Source organism: Homo sapiens, chromosome 8 (genome assembly GCF_000001405.40).
Source record: "Homo sapiens chromosome 8, GRCh38.p14 Primary Assembly".
In the NCBI taxonomy this organism is placed as follows: domain Eukaryota; kingdom Metazoa; phylum Chordata; class Mammalia; order Primates; family Hominidae; genus Homo; species Homo sapiens.
Window position 1 is genome coordinate 47,847,648 of NC_000008.11, and position 18,243 is coordinate 47,865,890.

The window sequence follows — 18,243 nt, forward strand, 5'->3', positions numbered from 1 at the left end:
CTAGTTAAATTAAAGAGATTCTGTGCAGCAAGAGATACTATCAAGAGGGTAAACAGACAACCTATAGAATGGGAGAAAATATTCAAAATAGTCACAAACTATGCACCTAACGAAGGTCTAATATCCAGAATCCATAAAAAACTTAATTCAACAAGTAAAAAGTGACCCCATTAAAAAATGAGCAAAAGACATGGATACTTCTCAAAAGACATAAAAGCGGCCAACAAATATATATATATATATATATATAAAAGTCATCATCACAAATCATCAGAGAAATGCAAATGAGATACCATCTCACACCAGTCAGAATGGTTTTCTTAAAAAGTTAAAAATCTGGCAGATATTGGCAAGGCTGCAGAGAAAAAGGAACACTTATACATGGTTGGTGGGAATGTAAATTAGTTCAGCCACTGTGGAAAGCAGTTTGGAGACTTCTCAAGGAAGTGAGAGTTGAACTATCATTTGATCCAGCAATCCCATTACTGGGTATATACGCAAAGGAAAATAAATCTTTCTACCAAAAAGACACATGCACCCATATGTTCACTACAGCACCATTTACAACAGCTAAGACATGGAATCAACCCAGGTGCCCATCAATGGTGGACTGGATAAAGAAAATGGTACATATATACCATGGAATATTAGGCAGCCATAAAAAAGAATGAAATGTCCTTTGCAGCAACATGGATGCAGCTGGAGGCCACTGTCCTAAGTGAACTAGTACAGAAACAGAAAAGCAAATACTGCATGTACTTACTCATATGTGGGAGCTAAACACTGAGTACACATAGACATAAAGTCAGGAACAACAGACACTGGGGAACAGAAGAAGGGGAAGGGAGGATATGAGGCAAGAGTTGAAAAACTAACTACTAGGTACTATGGTCACTACCTGAGTGACAGATTCATCTGTACACCAAACCTCAGCATTACGCAATATACCTTCGTAACAAACCTGCACTTGTACTTCCTTATTCAAAAATAAAAGTTGAAAAAAATGAAAAAAAAAAAAAAGGTATATGGACTAATAGACTAAGACTGGAAAAGAGTACAGGGACAGGGAAATAATATAATGTAAGTGATCAGCAGCTTTCTCTTTTAACATATACTTTTATGTTATGTTGCAATTTTGAAAATAAATGAACAATTTAAACACATTAACAGAAGCTCTCACCTGGCAAAATAGGTACAGAACTCAAAAGCATACATTTTAAATCTGAAGAGAGCCAAGGTAACCCCATAGGCCACCTCCTTCATTTATGGATGAAAAACACGCCCTGGGATGTGGCTCCCCAAGATGCCAGGCCAAGGGAGCAGAGAGCAGGCCCACCTCAGCAGATATCCTATTCTTATGGTGCCTTCACCTTTTCTTCAGAGATTCCAACTTCACAAATGTGTATATCATGGAAACCCACAGGTTCTTCTTGAGTTGGAGACGTCTTAATAAATTAACGCTTTATGAGCCAGTGGGACCCAAGAGCAGGGCTAGTGTTCACTCACCTATGTCTCATGACTTGAACGAAGTCCTTGCTCTTTAACTGGAAGTACAGCTCTGTCATTCCCTCCACACGACAAAGTACCACCTCCAGACAGAGTGTTTTCAACACTCCATGAAATTTTGGCAGCAGAAAGAACACAGCATTCATGAACCTGGCGGGGAAGGGAACTGGTGAGAGGAGGGCCGAGGACCCTCCTGCCCCGAAAGGATCCCTGGACAGCCCATACCTGTCTGCAAGAGGAGGGAAGCTCTTGGTCACTTTGTTCAAGCACACAATAAACTTGTCCTCCATAGTATTCTGATGTTGCTTCAATTGTTTCGCAACCAGTTCACACAGAGACTCCTCCAGTATCTGAAAAATTAAGTTTATTTTCAAATACACAAAAGTGGAAATGTAGGTTAAGCATTGAAAGCAAAGTTTATCTTGAGTATTTAAGTGAGCCCAACAAAGGTGCTCAATGTTGTCACCTACAAGGTAGATGATGGGACAGTAGGTGCTGGGGATGTCTGCTGGTCTACACTGACCATCGCACACCCTTAGGCTCTGGATCCTTGAGTTCCTACACCTCGGTGAGCCAGTCCACATCACTGTGCTCTGTGCTGAGCACCCAGGTGTCTGGCTCGTGTAGATGTCAGATCAATGAAGATCAGTGTTTCCTACTGACACCAAAACACTTGGTAGGACCAGTAAGTCCTTTGAGAAGCTAAGCTAAATGGCTAAATATTGTTTGAGACATATTTTATGGTGTTCAGATTTCTGATAAAAAATATTCACATGGACTAGAATTTTCAAGCAATTCTATTCACACAGCAGTCCCCATCACTGTACTGTCTGCTCATGTCCTGCCTCTTTTCACCAAGTGTTGCTACCTGTTATATATTCATCTGTGTACCATCTGTCTCCCCTCCCCAAATGCCAGCTCCCCAAGGGCAGGGACATGACCTGTCCTGTTCCCTACTGCATCCCTAGAACCAGGAAGTCCTCAAATGTCCTCCACACAGAGAAGTACTCAGTAGAGTCCACTGGCAGGAAGCAACGGAAAACACTGCTGTCCTTCCTGGCTCACCTCCTTCCTCACAAACATCAGAAAGAGGGGTAGGCAACGTTTCAAAGGCACACAGACCGAACAGTTTTTCAATGCAAACTCAACACAGACTGAGCGCCTCAAATCTGAAAATCCAGAATCCTCCAAAATGCAAAACGTTTTGAGCCTCAGCATGACACTCAACAAAACGTTCACTGGAGCATTTGAATTTTGAATTTTTGAATTAGGGATGCTCAAACAGAAACTATCATGAAAATATTGCAAAACCAGAAAATGGAAACACTCCTGGTCCCAAGCATTTTGGAATAGAGATACCGAATCTGTAGTATGAGGCTATTTTTAAATTATCTTAAGGAAAACCCTTAACACAAAACCACAAATTTCAACGGCCTGAACCCCATATAGAATACACATAGTATTACCCTACCAATTAATCAGATGTCTTTTTATTAAAAGTATTTAATACGACAACACAATGAAATGATCACAATCTAGCAAGTAAAGAAAGCAAGTTATAAAACAGTATGAATAACAGAGACCAAGAACAGTGGAGCTGTGTGCCACAGGTGCTGAGGGACATTGCGTGGGAAGAGTGCGAGCCTCTCTTACTGACTTCTTTTTATTTTTTTTGAGATGGAGTCTCACTCTGTCGCCCAGGCTGGAGTGCAGTGGTGTGATCTCAGCTCACTCCAACCTCTGCCTCCCAGGTTCAAGGGATTCTCCTGCTTCAGCCTCCCGAGTAGCTGGGATTATGGGAGTGTGCCACCATGCCCAGCTAATTTTTGTATTTTTTGTGGAGGCAGGGTTTCACTATGTTGGCCAGGCTGGTCTTGAACTCCTGACCTCAAGTGATCTGCCTGCCTTGGCCTCCCAAAGTGCCGGGATTATAGGCATGAGCCACAGCACCCGGCCTCTTACCAACTTCTTTATGTTTACTCTGCTTTCCAAATTTCTACGATAAATCCGTATCACTTTTATATTCAGAAAAAAATACGTAAAACAGAAGTGTTTTTTATTCTTAAGTTGAAATTTAAGTCATGAGAGATTAAACCTGGGGATCTGCTGTAACCTGCTCCATTTATGGTGGAAATGAAACATATTATGTAGATTTAAACCTCATATTTAGGGATGTTAGAATCATCTTGTAAAAAAGTTCTACTGAATTTTAAAAATCTGTTTATTTACAAAAATAGCTGATAATCCCTAAAATGAATTACAAGTAATATTTGATCTTCCCAAAGGGGTCATCTTAATTTTATTTTAAATCCAAACAAATCCATACTTGGTGACATGGACAAGGGTCCAATCACAGCACTGGGCCCACTGGTGCCTGCTCAGGACCACCTGGCTTCTCCTGAGCCTCTCCTCATCCAGCCCAACAGTGACTATGGCCTGGACTCTACTCTGTCCTTTCTTTCAGGAGAGTAACTGAGCTGGGGTTGCAAACTGGAGAATCATGAACATAAAGGCAGTCTACATAAAGCCATGAGGCTGGACGAGGCGGGCAGGGGAGCAGTGAGTGAGGCCAAAGCCGAGCTGTGGAGGTGTTCAGGGAAATGCAGCTGACGAAAGGGAGAGGGGGCTGCCACAGGAGGAGGACGGGAGCCAAGAGTGTCCTCAGGGTGTGACCAGCTGGGCCACCCAGACAGGCTCTGCAGCAGCAAGATCCCCAGGGATCCACAGAGCACCTTATCCCAGTGATGAACCTGAAACCCACCACCCTGCTTGGGCAACATGGCGAAACCTTGTTTCTACAAAAAATACAAAAATTAGCCAAGCATGGTGGCATATGCCTGTAGTCCCAGCTACTCGGGAGGCTAAGGTGGGAGGATGGCTTGAGCCCAGGAGTGCAAGGCTGCAGTGTGCTATGATTACACCACTGCACTCCAGCCCAGGTGACAGAGCAAGAACCCAGCTCTAAAAAGACTTTAAAACAATAAAGAACATGTTACTTCTTCATTCAGTCCTCTTATCTGAACAGCGCACTGCACTTAAACGTTCAGTTAGGCTCATCTCACAGTCCTGTCCAGTGGGCAAGGCAGCAGTACTGAGAGGGTCGCCTGGGAGATCCCTGCCCCTGTTCAACAGCTACACCAAAAACTGCAAGGGGAGGAATGGACTGGGGGAGGACAGCAGCTATCTACCAGGACAATTTCCTCCACAAGGAAATCCTGAGACCAAGTTCATAGTAATAAAAGCTGGTTAAATACTCTCATCCTGATTTTACATTACCAAGTCGGTTGCTGATCTCTCCACGTTCACCAAGTTTCCAAGGTGTTTAAAAATCATGTGCCCTCTCTAAAAAACTGAGTATTATATTTGCTATATTATAGTAAGAAACAGTAAAATTTTAATAAATGCAGATGCCCATTTTGTTTCTAATACCATACAAGAAATAAACATATAAGTATCAAGGGTCATAACAAATCAAAACAGAGTAAGAGGTATTTATTGAAAATTGTGTAGCACACTCACGTTTTTTCTCTCCATAACATATCGAAGTATAAGTCCTAGAACTTCTGCTGCAGCGGCATACACTTCTTTATATCTTACAAAGGACATATTATTCACCAAAGCCTGGAAGTATCTACAATAAACACAGAAAAGACATATGCATCAAATAAACCATTCTGTTGTTCCACAAATATAAATGACAATTTTCCTTCTCATGTCATATTGACAGCCTAAGTTGAGGAAATCTAAATATAGAATGTGATGCAAATTCCATGCACAAATGCACACATCAGCATGTACGTAAGGGTGCCCGATGTCATAACCAGAAAAGCATAGGGCAGTCTGCTGTCCCATCATGCAGAACCGCTGCAGCTGGACCATCCCACAAGGCTGAACAGACAGAAAGGTGCAGTGACAGAAAGAGCTACTATCCAAGATCACGGGACACTGACTCCCTTTCAAAACCCACCTACTATAGCAGGACAAGGACAATAAAATGAGAAAGAGCATACTCCCAGTGCCGTCTGTGTGAGGAGGCTTCCCAGGGAGCCACCCATTCACTGTCAGCACTCAGGGGACTCTGCAAGGTTATCCCAGTGTAGAAGCCAAAGCCCCAGCCAGTGACTGTCTAAAAGGAGCCGAGTTCCCACTGAGGCTGCCGCGAAGCTGGCTGCCTCAGCCCTGAGGTCATGTGTCATCTCTGGCACCAGTAACTGGTCCGACGGTGCTGGGGGGCCAACACGGAGGACCAAACAGAGAGAGTGATTGGGCAGGGCAGGCGGAAACCCAGGGAGTGGCCAGGAATCAACACTGACTTCACAACCCTCAGGAGCAGGACAAAGATGTCCTGCTCCTTTTATGATGTCCCGGAACCATCTTTCTGAGGCCTCTTGTCTTGACATGTCACACCCAGCTGCCCTAGCTCCCAGGCGGGATGGTGCAGCCCAGCGTCTACCAGCCCTCACCGTCAGAGAGCCCAGAACAAAGCCTTCCGAGGGGCCTGCATTACTTTTGGGGATAAATGTTCAGAATATCAGTTTAGAAAATAAGAAATACTTAACACCTCTCACCTTCCAGCATGGATATGAAAAAATCACACTGTTTTAAACACCTACATTTCTCATTTGCCCCAAACATTTCTTCCAAAAAAATCTAAATCCATCTTCCTAAATTTAGGCAGACAAGAATTTTTTTGGTATAGATGCGGTCTTGCTATGCTGTCCAGGCTGGTCTTGAACTCCTGGACTCAAGCAATCCTCCTGCCTTGGCCTCTCAAACGTGTTAGAATTACAGGCATGAGCCACCGTGCCTGGCCCAGAAACATTTGTAGCATGGGTCTGGTCCTTAAAATTATCAAAACTGCACCATACTGAAGTCTGTCAATCCAGTTTGGGTAGACGTGACCTAAAAAATAATCAAGCAAACACGTACTCGCTACTCTGGATGCCACACTGTGGGTCATAGGGAGGCAGGTCATTGGCCATCACGATGCCTAGCAATTGAATCCCTACTGAGTTGTCTTTAGAATTAGGATCTTTACCGGAAAACTTTTCAAATATTAACCTGAAACATAAGCACAAAGGAGAAAATTGAGACTGTTGCATAATCAAGTAAGAAGCAGGAAGACAAATACAGAATTTTATTTTTTTGAGACAGAGTCTGACTCTCGCCCAGGCTGGAGTGCAGTGGCGTGACTGAGACGGAGTCTTGGAGTCTCGCTTTGTCGCCCAGGCTGGAGTGCAGTTGGCATGATCTCGGCTTGCTGCAAGCTCTGCCCCCTGGGTTCACGCCATTCTCCTGCCTCAGCCTCCCAAGCAGCTGGGACTACAGACGCCCGCCACCACACCTGGCTAATTTTTTGTATTTTTTTAGTAGAGACGGGGTTTCACTGTGTTAGCCAGGATGGTCTCGATCTCCTGACCTCGTAATCCGCCCGCCTCGGCCTCCCAAAGAGCCGGGATTAAGGCGTGAGCCACCGTGCCCGGCCAAATACAGAATTTTCTAAAGCTAATCTTCAGGGTAAGAAATGCTTTTTCTTTATTTCTGTTTCTTCCCCAGGTCTAGCTTTGACTTTACAGAAATGCTTTCTTTTTCTTTTCCCATATCCAATATCCCTGCTTGCTAATACCTCCTGTTCACATCCAGGTTCCTCCAGCTTTGTAACACTGGCAATTTTATCGCCCTCGTATTTTAATTATTTGCCTAAATTCTCCCTTAGTTGATAGCAAAACTTTTTGGAAGTTTTAGCTTGCCTCAGGCTACAAAAAAAGGAATTACGCACAAATCCTACCTACCTCCCACCACCCTCTACCCCATGGGCCAACGGAAGGTAGTGCCCCTCCCCAGCGTGGGGACATCAGAGGCAAGCTGAGGCGGAGGGCAGGGCCACTGGAGGGTGCGAGACACGCATCTGGTGCCACACTCTGGAGGCTGTGGTTTTATTAGTAACAATAAATTATTTTCTTCCTCCTATCATTTCATGTAATTAAATTTCACTGTAATCATCATTTACGACACACTACATTTTAACCTAAATTTCTAAACAATACTGCAAAAACCAGTAAACATACCTATAAGGGATGGATAAACAATCCTTCCAGCACTCGACAAGGGTCTTTATAATTTCAAGGTTGTGTCTAAACACAGCTCTTTTTGGATGAAAGACATGTTTCATTAGGAAATTAAGCAATCGATTTGCTAACACTTCATCTTTAGGGACCCCCTGAAAAGGTACAGAAATTCTGTATTAATATGCGGCATTCCATTCTGGAAAGCATTTTTTAACTCAAGTTCATTTATAAAAGAAATCTGGCATTTTACAGGAGTCCGGCTCCTGTTGAAAGCCCTGTGATTTTTCAGAAACAGGTAACAACAAAGGCTGACCTGGCAAGAGGACCAGGCACCGCCGGCGCTGCAATCTCAGAGTTGCCGTCCAGGGTGCAGGCTGCTAGCCACCATGCCCCATGCATGCACCTCTGCCTTCCTCCCTGGAGCCTCCATGCCTAGGACTCTTTATCTGAGGCCCTGGACAGGGGTCGCCTGCAGGGCAGGGGAGCAGCATGAAGGTGCTTTCCCCACTCCGACTCAGTATCCAGTGCTTTCTGACTCAGCTCTTCCCTATAAAACTGCAGAGCCTCCTGTTCAGGGCCTCTCAATGGTGAGACGGCCCTTGTCTGTGCTAATCCATCTGGCTGCTGAGCAGTGCACCACTCTAGGGGCAAACAGAACAAGGGGAGTCTCCCTCCAGTGTTAGCCTCTCACTCCCATGACTCCAGAGTGAGTAAAAGCTTCACGGCAACCTTTCTGGCTTGCTGTTGCTTTATTCAGCTACCTCGAGCCCGGCAGTTCCACTCTCTTGAGTTCAGCTGAGCCACTGACAGCTACATCAATCTCTTTCAACGGACCCTTGTTAAACTGAACCCCTCTTAATTTTTTCATTTTATTAAGCAGAAAACAAAGTATTTCATTACACTAAGACAAAGAAATCTAAATTTGGTTAACTGTGAAACAAATGAGATAGGTACATCCAGAGACAAGCGTGTGAGAAAGCTCCACGTATTTTTTTGTGGTGGGGGGGTGGTGGTGGAGCTGGGGGAACGTAGTCTCACTCTGTCGCCCAGGCTGGAGCTACAGTAGTGCCATTTCAGCTCACCACAACCTCCGCCTCCCGGGTTTAAGCAATTCTCCTGCCTCAGCCTCCCGAATAGCTAGGATTATAGACATGCAGCACCATGTCCAGTTAATTTTTGCATTTTTTTAGTACAGATAAGGTTTCACCATGTTGGCCAGGCTGGTCTCAAACTCCTGACCTTAAGTGATCTGCCTGCCTTGGTCTCCCAAAGTGCTGGGATTACAGGTGTGAGCCATCATGCCTAGCCCCGCATGTGTATATTATATTTAATACAGACTGTTCTTACCATCTCCTCACATGAAAACGTTTGTATGCTGTCAGTGTCCACAGTTTTAAATGAGTAGGCAAAGCACCAACACACACACACATGTCTACACTGGTGGGTACTGCATTTGCCTCAACATAACATGGTGTTATCATCTGGCAGCTACTGCTTTAGCCCTAATCTTGCCATTGCTGGTATTAGTCAATACTCTGGGAGTAGAGAAGATGGCACAAATGCCAAAATCCAGGGACTTCAAGGCAGGAGTCCTCAGAGCCTCCCATTCAGGGTTGGTTGAAATTCAGTTTACACATAGTTTTAATAAATTTGCAATCTCATTTCTAAGGCAAGTAAAGGCAGCAAACAAAACAAAACAAACACCTGACAGCTTCATAATAAAAGCAAGGTCAGACGAATTACCAAAGGCAAAGGAAACAAAACAAAACCAAAGCAGGCTGAGGCCATTTGGTTTAGGAGCACACCAGCAATGTAGCAACAAATGCTGAAAACCATAGCACAGTCAGTGAGAGGGACCTGAATTATGTGTCATAGGCTCTATAGGCTATTGGCAAAGGATAATATATTAACATAAAAGATGCATCAATCCTTACTGTTGGAGTGGCCAAGCCTGTCCATGAAAGAATAGTGGCCACTATCTCAACCACCATGTAGTGAATTCCTTCTCCTCCATTGTTTTCAGAAGCAGCCAGCTGCAGCAAGGGGCTAAGCCAGTGCTTCGCGTAAGGGCGAAAGACCTACAAGAGGATGTAAAAGTCAAACATCAAAGAATGGTCTTAAATTGCCAAAATATTAATACAAGACTGTATCTTCCATCAGCTAAAATTTTATACTATGACTGGACCTAAAGCCAAAAGCGAGGTAAGCACGTTAAAGTGAAGGCATTAGTGTGGGCCCTAATCAAATATGACTGGTGTCCTTATTAAAAGAGGAAATCAGGACACAGAGACAGATACAAGGGGGAAGATGAGGTGAAGACACAGGGAGAATGCCTGTGACACACCACATAGTGCTTGAGGCTGCCGGATGCTAGGAGTAGCCTGGACCAGGCTCTCTCATAGCTCTCGAAGGAACCAACCCTGCCAGCAGCTTGATCTCAGGCCACGGCTGTCTGAGTCCCCCCAGTATGGCACCCTGAGACCATGTGCCCAGGGTGTGAAGAATCAAGTGAGCCCCGAGGAAAGAAGGTGCTGCTGCAGCCCTAGAGCAGCCTGTCAGGGATGTCCTGACAGACTCGCCATGTCTGCAGAGCTGCCCAGAATGACCTTCTACGGAGCCAAGTGGATGGTGTCACCCCACCACTTAGTGCCCTTAGTGGTTCCCTGGTGCTCAATGAATGAGCCCAACCCTCTGCATAGCTCTGGATGGCCTGGCCTGGCTCTGGTCCAGACCACACTCCCACAGCCCAGGCAGTCAGTGCAGACCTGCTTGGCTCACCCAGGGACCACCCGTGCTATGCTACTCCTTCCCTGCCTAGTGCAAACTCTCACTGCACTTCACCACGTCTAGCTCAAAGGCCTTTCCAAAATGGACTCCAAGATGCTCCTACCTCACGAACTCAGCAATTGCCTAAGAGTCCGCTGTTTTTCATATAGAGTTAACAGGAATATTTTCTCCCCCGCTCCACCCCCCGCTTTTTTTTTTCCTACTATAAGGAAAGAACGTTGGCAGCCGTAAGAAAGCAGCTACATGTACTTTATACAAAGACCACTTCTAACTCACGAGAGGTGAATTTACATATGTTAAAAACGATAAAAGAATGGTGATGAACAAGTAGATAAATATTGGGTGGCTAATCAGAGAACAAAAATGTCATGCTCTGCCCCTTTATATTTTCCTTTTTTGTGTGTGTTTTTAAGTATATTCATAGAATTGCAATTGATTCATTCATAGAATTGAATAAACAGACTTACAGAATCTATTCAAAGAATAAAGAAATAATCAATTACTTACCTCTTCTGTATTAATAACAAGCTTGGCTAAGAAGAGACGGATATTTAATGGTACTATTGGATTTCCCAGTTTGCCATGGAGGAATTTCATCCAAGAAGGAAGATCTCTTGGCACTGAATCCTAAAATAAAACATTCAAAATTACCTTAAAACGTGGAATAAAATAATGATACATTTTGATATTATGGGAAAACAAGGACAAAGTAAGACATGAACAAAAAAAAATCACATTTATTTGATAAGCAGTTTGGTTTTGTTTTCAATATTAAATGTTCATTCTCAGTATGACACCAATGAATATAGTATTAACAGGTAAGATGAGTGGGAAAAGCACCTCTTCTCCTTGAGGCGGGCCCAGGCTTCTGTGCATGTGCTTGACCAGGGCCGTCAGGGGCGCCATGCACTCATGCCGATTGAGCTCGTCCATCTCCAGCTCCAGCACATCATCATGCACCGTGGGGTCCCGCTGCTCCTGCGAAAGGGAGGGCCCAGGAGAGCAGAGGGTACAGTTAACATTCAGTGGACAAGGCAGTGGATGTGGGAGGCTCTTTCTGGGGCAACAGCATATAACAAACACTTAGGTAATAATGATAATCTGGTAATAATATCAAATACACTCACTGTACAATTAACAGATAAGAAGGATTTCATGTCTTCCTTGCATCCCAAGTACATAGTCCCCGTCCCGTCTGCCCAGTCATTCCACAGGGTGGCTCCTGAGGTCAGATGTCTCTGTTACACTGACCCCTGACCCCCATCTATGGTCACTCCTCAGGGTGGCTCCTCAGGTCAGATGTCTCTGCTATGTGACCCCCTGAACCGTCTGTATGGTGACTCCCCGGGAGTGCACCTCAGGTCAGAGCATCTTTGCTATGTTGACCTCTGACCTCCTACTGTGCTGATGATATCTGACTGCTGAGTCTACAGAATAAAAGGCTAGGAATTAGATCTTGGAAAATTCTCCAAATTAACTCTATACTCCGAGGGTTGTCAATGGACAGAGAACTGGCTTCCTGTAGTAACAGCAAGGCATAGCTGTGACCCCCTTTCTTCACAAACATCGACAATATTCTTTTAGTATGTGAAATGTGATCACCCGTCTCCGAAAACGACCAGTGGCAGGTCTAGGGTCTTGGGAGCTGTATGAATAGCTCTGAACTCCGGTTGAGAAATCAAATTGACTCATTTCCTCACTCAGGGTACTGTCTGCCAAATATGACAGGGAAGACATATAGGAAGGACCATCTGAAATATAAAAAAGGAGAAAATTACATGTATTCAAACATAATTAGTAAGAAATGTATTTCTCTAAATTCAAATGATATGAAAATTAAAGCACATTTTAATCTAAGGTTTTCATCAAGCCAGTGATTATTAACCTATTATCCAGATTAAGAAAGCAAAAAAGAAATGGGGAAAAGACCTCATTTTCTTTTTGTTGTTATCAAGCAGTTATTCTGTCATAGACAAGGAAATTGTTATACTGGTCCAATTTTGCATATGATTAACACATTTTCTTTGCATTTAAAATTTTGATGATGTACATTTTGCCCATTAAGTCTAACAAAAATGTGGGAAGAAATACCACTGAAAAGCAGCTAATCCAAAACACCTAAGAGATTTAGAAAACTGGTCCAAATTTTATTCTCATATCAAGAAATGATGATAAAGCTATAAGGAAAAATTAAGCAAAAAACAAAAACAAGGAGCATATAGAGGGATAGTGGACTAATTTTAAATAGGGAGGCCAGGAAGAGTCTACTTCAGGGGTTGACATTAAACAAAATGTCATGAGGTATGCTAATACCTGGGGTTGAGGGTATTAGAGGAAACTGCAAGTGCACACGACCTAGGGCAAAAGCAGGCCTGGCGCCTACAAGGCACAGGCAAGAGCCATATGCTGGAGTGAGCAGTAAGAAGGGCTGCAGGGGAGGGAGTCGGCAGGTCAGGGGCCTTGAGCAGCTCTGTCCTGCCGGAGATGGGAACCCACAGTGAGGCTGGGCACAGAAGAGTGGCTCGAAAGGACTTGTATTCTAATGTAGACTTCTGAATGTATCTAAACAACATACAAACACAATCCATATGCAAACAATAAGACACCAAGCTAATTTTGTATTTTTAAAAAAGTGTAACATATCTGAACCCCGTCTGGCCACTCTGAGACCTTTCTATGCAGCTAAGTTTAGCTAAGTACATTTCTTTCAAAATATAATTCCATTTGCCACTTAAAATACTTTTTCAAAGTCAATTTCAATGTTTTAGGGTACTTAAAGTATTTTCTATTTACATAAAAAATACTTTACTCCTCTATTTGTCTTAGAACAAAACAAAACAAAATAACCCATCGATTTGAATCCTTTCTCATGATTTTGAAAACATCCTACCTGAATCCCCATTTGCTGCTTCTCTGGCTTCTTTCCTAATTTCAATGTACTTTTTCTTTCTTTCCATAGGAACCTATTGGGAAGAACAAATAAACAATGTAAAACATTTTATAATAATAGTGATACTTTTTCTGTTTTAGTAGCAATCTGGCAAAAAAAAAATTATAAATTTTTAAACAAAACAAAACAAATTTAAAAGCACTCAAAAATAACCTCAAAAAGAGACTAGTGAGTGTCCCTTAAGGAAAGCCCTTCCTGCAGATTCCCACAGAACTCGGCCCAGGCACTTAACCTCCATCTCAGCTCTGGTACAGCTCACTGCGTACAGTGTGTACCAAACTCTTATGCCTGGACTGCTGATAAATTCTATTTATCTCTGAACCTCAATTTATTCAAATCTAGTTATGATATATCATAGTGCTTGTAATTGTTGTAAAATATAGAAGTAACATACAGCATGTGTCTACACGCTTAATAAACTGGTGCTAATTTTGTTGTTTTTTAGTTCTTTGAACATATGCCTAGAAAACAATCCTAGTCTTGTTCAGAAGAAGTACAAGGCAGGATCAGCATTCACATGTAGTGGTGAAGCACTAAGACATGGTAGAGGTCAGCAGCTGTGTGGGGAAAGTGCACGCCATGGTGGATGAGCTCAGCTCTCTGCCCACCTTCCCATTTCCAATGGGTGCTGAAGGCAGCAACCACCACATTCTCACCAACTGCCCAACTGCTGAGGCTGGCATGTCAATCTGAGCTTGGCTAAAACAAACCTTGTCCCATCTGCCAGAGCAAGTCTTCCAGTTAACCCATGACTTTTCCATGATCCTGCCACGTTGCCCAAGCAAGGCCACTGTAAGGATCTCAACTTCTTTGACTGGAGCAATTCACTTAGAAAACAACTTCTGGGATATGTCCTAACACTTCCTTTTACTGGCACCGTCTTTCCTACACATGTCAAGAGATGAAATCAAGTTCTGACAAATTTTGTAGTTGCCTGAGATTGTATCTGAAGCTACAATTGCCAGATTTTATAGAAACCACATGAAACCACCAGTTTTTGTTGAAAGCCGACTTGAATATTGGCAACTTAACGTGTTTGACATAATATGGTTTTCTTTGTGAGCACTTGATAAGTTTTTTTTAACATTGAAAATTTCACTCACCTCAACTTCTACAGGAAAATTATAGCGGCGCTTCAGGTCGATCAGATTTTCAAAAATAAGCAAGTTCTGTGAATACAAAGAATCATATAAAAATAGCTGAATGGTGAAGATCCTCATAATCGATGTTACTTTAGAATTAATGCTATGTAATAGCTCATGGAAAAGCACTCCAGCTTTAAATATACCTATGCAGAATTAAACGAACCACATCTTTAATATAAGATGGTATAAATTATCTGTAAGTTTGACTGATATAATCTAACTTTTGAACTCCTACAATAACAATAGTGCACACCGTAGGAGTGGCCTACCTTTTCTGGTTTTTCACTAAACAGAAAACCTTGGTAAAATTTTAACTCATTGAAGACACAGCAGATGACAGATATGGCGCAGTTGTATGCTGCACAATGGTAAAGTCTTCTCCTCTCCAGCAGCTGATTCTCTCCTGCCATGTTCTCTGTAAATGCATCGTAGCACAATCTGCAGAGAGATCCATGTGACAAATCAATTCACACAACATGGCAATCACTGCTCAAGCCCAACAATGCCAGACAACAGGACCTAATGCCATTCAGCCTTTCTCGAGGGTCAGGCTTGTGCCAGGCAGAGTATTAGGCACTGGGAATATGAAAAGGAACATGTCATCCATCTCACAGCAAAGGCAGCATATATACATGGATCTTGCAACACAGTGGTCAGTGACGCAACGGCATCAAGTGCAGTAAGTAAAGAGAGGGAAGGAAGCAAGGAGGACAGACAACAGCCTAGTCATGACTGAACGGTGACATCATTCACTGATGAGGTAAGACAGCACCAAGTAAGAGGAGGGTAATAATGAATTTGTTTGGTGATGCAAAATGTGATACGGCAAAAGTCTGTGTTCAATATTTACTAGGAGGAGAACTCCATTAAAAGACAAGTTTTAGAGAAAATACATTTGATTACTTTTGTATTGTTTAGAATGCCTGTTAAAAAATATTTACTATGCCTTTAATTTCAAATCTCAGAAAAAATAAAATACTCTAAATCTTTTGTTACTGAAAATCACAGCACTAAAAATATATCAAGCTATTCAAGGGGAAAAACAGTAGGAAAAGAACAGTAAAAGGAAAAAGTTTTATTATTTGTAAAATATTAGTACAAGATAAAACAACTGTTATCCAATACACCCTAAATTAACGCCCTAATTAAAGTTCACCTAAGTGGTTTATAAGAAGAAAACTATAAAAGCTCAGTATCTAAATAAAATATTTATTCACACTATATACATACATAAAAATATATGTACCCAAAGCATTGATAAATAAAATAGAATCCAAAATTAAGTAAAATCTTACTTAATCAATGTCTTTGTAAGTTCATTTCCTTCTGTAATACACGAGCCATGGAAAACTTGATTAATTTTTGATTCCTTAGCATGAACATCATCTTTGGGAAGGCGAGAATACATCACGTCTAGAATCTTATAGTAGCCCATCTTCTTGGTGATTTGAGTATCAAAGGTAGATTCATTTAGCTTCAAAAAGGTAAAAAATAATTATCTTTGGTCTTATTAAACATGAAATACATCTTATAGAATATATCAAATTTAATACTTAATATCCTTTAGACAGACAGAATTTTAACAGTCAAAAATGCTAAATCACTTCAATAAGAAAGCATGCAATTGTCCAGGTCTAGAACACGAATATAAGCATTGATATGTTACACTGGTGAAGCAGGAAATAATGTGTGACATCCAAATAGTGAGCCAAGGGTAGAAAATGTTTGCACAAAATCTTACTGAAGACATGGGAACAACAGGTGAAAATCCAAAATTCTCAGCTATTTTGAAGTCTGCATTAACAATGCAGCATCTGGGTATTCATAGTATTTCCCAACAGGATTCCGAGGGAGGCTGAGTGATACATCCTGCCCTCGCCCCACAAAAAGTATCCAAAAGATGCCCTCATCCCTGAAACCTACCTCCTCATGTGGCAAAAAAGGACTTTGTAGACAAAATTTAGTTAAGGGCCTTGTGATGAGGAGATTATTTTGGATTGTACAGGTGGGTAGGCCATAAATGAAATCACAGGCAACCTTGTAAGAAGGATGTGTAGGGAGATTAGATAGACAGGAAATGGAAATGTGACCAGGGAGGAAGAGACCAGGGTGAAACCAGCACAAGCCAAGCAATGCTGGCAGCCCCTAGGACCGCCAGGAACAGCTCTTCCCTGAGTTCCCAGAGTGAGCGTGGCCCTGACAACACTGTGATGTCAGCCCAGTGAAACTGATTCTGGACTTCTGGCCTCCAGAAGTGTAAGAGAATATCCAAATTTGCGTTAAGTTGTTACAGAAGCCACAGGAAATAAAGGCAGATCCCATGTAGCCACAGACTGTTATGTGGCACACTCCTTGAACAGCAGAGGCCATGTGACTGAGCACACAGCAGTGTCTAGGCACACCAGTCAAGTAGGCTGCTCACTTCTTATTACTGATTTAAGGCGTATGATACCTTTGTAAACCTGGACTTCAACACATCAATGGCATCCACCACAATTGTGCTGAAGAATTCTCTCAAAGCATCCAGGCTACAGTGCCACAGCAGAGTGAGGAGGGAGCGGTCCACAAAGGACTGGCGTGTGAAACTTAGGCGGGGGTCATCCTTCCTGAACATTTCATACACGCTTTCCAGAAGGCCTACTTGTGTGACACATGAACCCCTAAGAAAACAAGATAAAATTATATGAACATCCCTGCTTTGAAGAGGAACTTTATGAGTGCCTACTACATAACAGGCAAAGTAAACACCAGTGATTACAAATTACAAAAATAACTTTAAGGACTATATATATGCAAAATCCACAAAACACAAAAAGCATTTGCACATGAACCATACTACTTTTATCCACTCCCCAAAATCTTCAAATCAAACATGGGCATTAAAAAGAAGAATGTTTCATTTACTTTCAAATCTGGTCTTGCTTAAAGAACATCTGGAAGGCTCTAGAAGAATCTCAAGCCTAAAAAATAGACACATTTCTAGGATATAAAACTCAGAAGTTGGCTGGGCGTGGTGGCTCACGCCTGTAATCCCAGCACTTTGGGAGGCCGAGGCTGGCAGATCATGAGGTCAGGAGATCGAGACCACCCTGGCCAATATGGTGAAACCCTGTCTCTACTAAGAATACAAAAATTAGCTGGGCGTGGTGGTGTGCGCCTCTAGTCCCAGCTACTCTGGAGGCTGAGGCAGGAGAAACACTTGAACATGGGAGGCAGAGGGTGCAGTGAGCCGTCGCACCACTGCACTCCAGCCTGGCAACAGAGTGAGACTCCGTCTCAAAAAAAAAAAAAAAATTCAGAAGTTATGATTTTAAAATTCTAGTTTCTCCCTACCAGTGAACCACCATTGCTATTTCCCAAACAGAAATATACCTGTCTATCTGGTCCTTTATTTTCTCACCTGAAAATAATATATTTGAATAATCACCTATAAAGTTTTGTCTATAAATCTATAAATTAAGAATGCAGAGTTAGTATCTTCATCTGTAAAAATAAGAGGGTTAAGACTAAATGGCCATTAAAATTCTGATGCTATGAAGTTAGATAACCAGGTCAAAAATACTAGATTCAGAAAGTAACTCAGTCATAAAAAGACTATAGGACACTACTAGATGCCATACAGGATTTGCAAAGTTTATTTGGGTACTATAATGGACTGAATGTTTAAGACTCCCCAAATTCCTATGTTGAAACCCTGATCCCCGGTGTGATTGTATTAGGAGGTAAGGCTGTTGGGAGGTGATCAGTGCCCTTATATAAGAGGTCCCAGAGGCCGGGTGCAGTGGCT

At 42.4% G+C, this 18,243-nt stretch overlaps 1 protein-coding gene across 2 annotated transcripts in view, besides 1 other annotated feature; it reads right to left on the reverse strand.

Annotated features, from left to right (window-relative positions):
* PRKDC (protein kinase, DNA-activated, catalytic subunit) overlaps positions 1-18,243 on the reverse strand; it is a 187,026-nt gene that overhangs the window by 74,537 nt on the left and 94,246 nt on the right. For both annotated transcript variants that reach the window (NM_001081640.2, NM_006904.7), the window contains exons 41-54: positions 16,909-17,116; positions 15,752-15,930; positions 14,726-14,894; positions 14,415-14,480; positions 13,252-13,324; positions 11,964-12,112; positions 11,202-11,339; positions 10,869-10,988; positions 9,509-9,652; positions 7,575-7,726; positions 6,436-6,567; positions 5,026-5,137; positions 1,732-1,856; positions 1,507-1,656 (exon numbers count right to left, since the gene is read on the reverse strand). In NM_001081640.2, the coding sequence (NP_001075109.1) occupies positions 1,507-1,656; positions 1,732-1,856; positions 5,026-5,137; positions 6,436-6,567; positions 7,575-7,726; positions 9,509-9,652; positions 10,869-10,988; positions 11,202-11,339; positions 11,964-12,112; positions 13,252-13,324; positions 14,415-14,480; positions 14,726-14,894; positions 15,752-15,930; positions 16,909-17,116 (1,917 nt within the window). The remainder of the gene's footprint in view (positions 1-1,506; positions 1,657-1,731; positions 1,857-5,025; positions 5,138-6,435; positions 6,568-7,574; positions 7,727-9,508; positions 9,653-10,868; positions 10,989-11,201; positions 11,340-11,963; positions 12,113-13,251; positions 13,325-14,414; positions 14,481-14,725; positions 14,895-15,751; positions 15,931-16,908; positions 17,117-18,243) is intronic.
* Positions 10,203-10,702: an enhancer, noted in NCBI's record as "H3K4me1 hESC enhancer chr8:48770411-48770910 (GRCh37/hg19 assembly coordinates)". NCBI's record gives its function as "activates a minimal SCP1, AML or CMV promoter by ChIP-STARR-seq in primed H9 embryonic stem cells {active_cell/tissue: H9 hESC(primed)}" and the evidence as "EXISTENCE:reporter gene assay evidence [ECO:0000049][PMID:30033119]".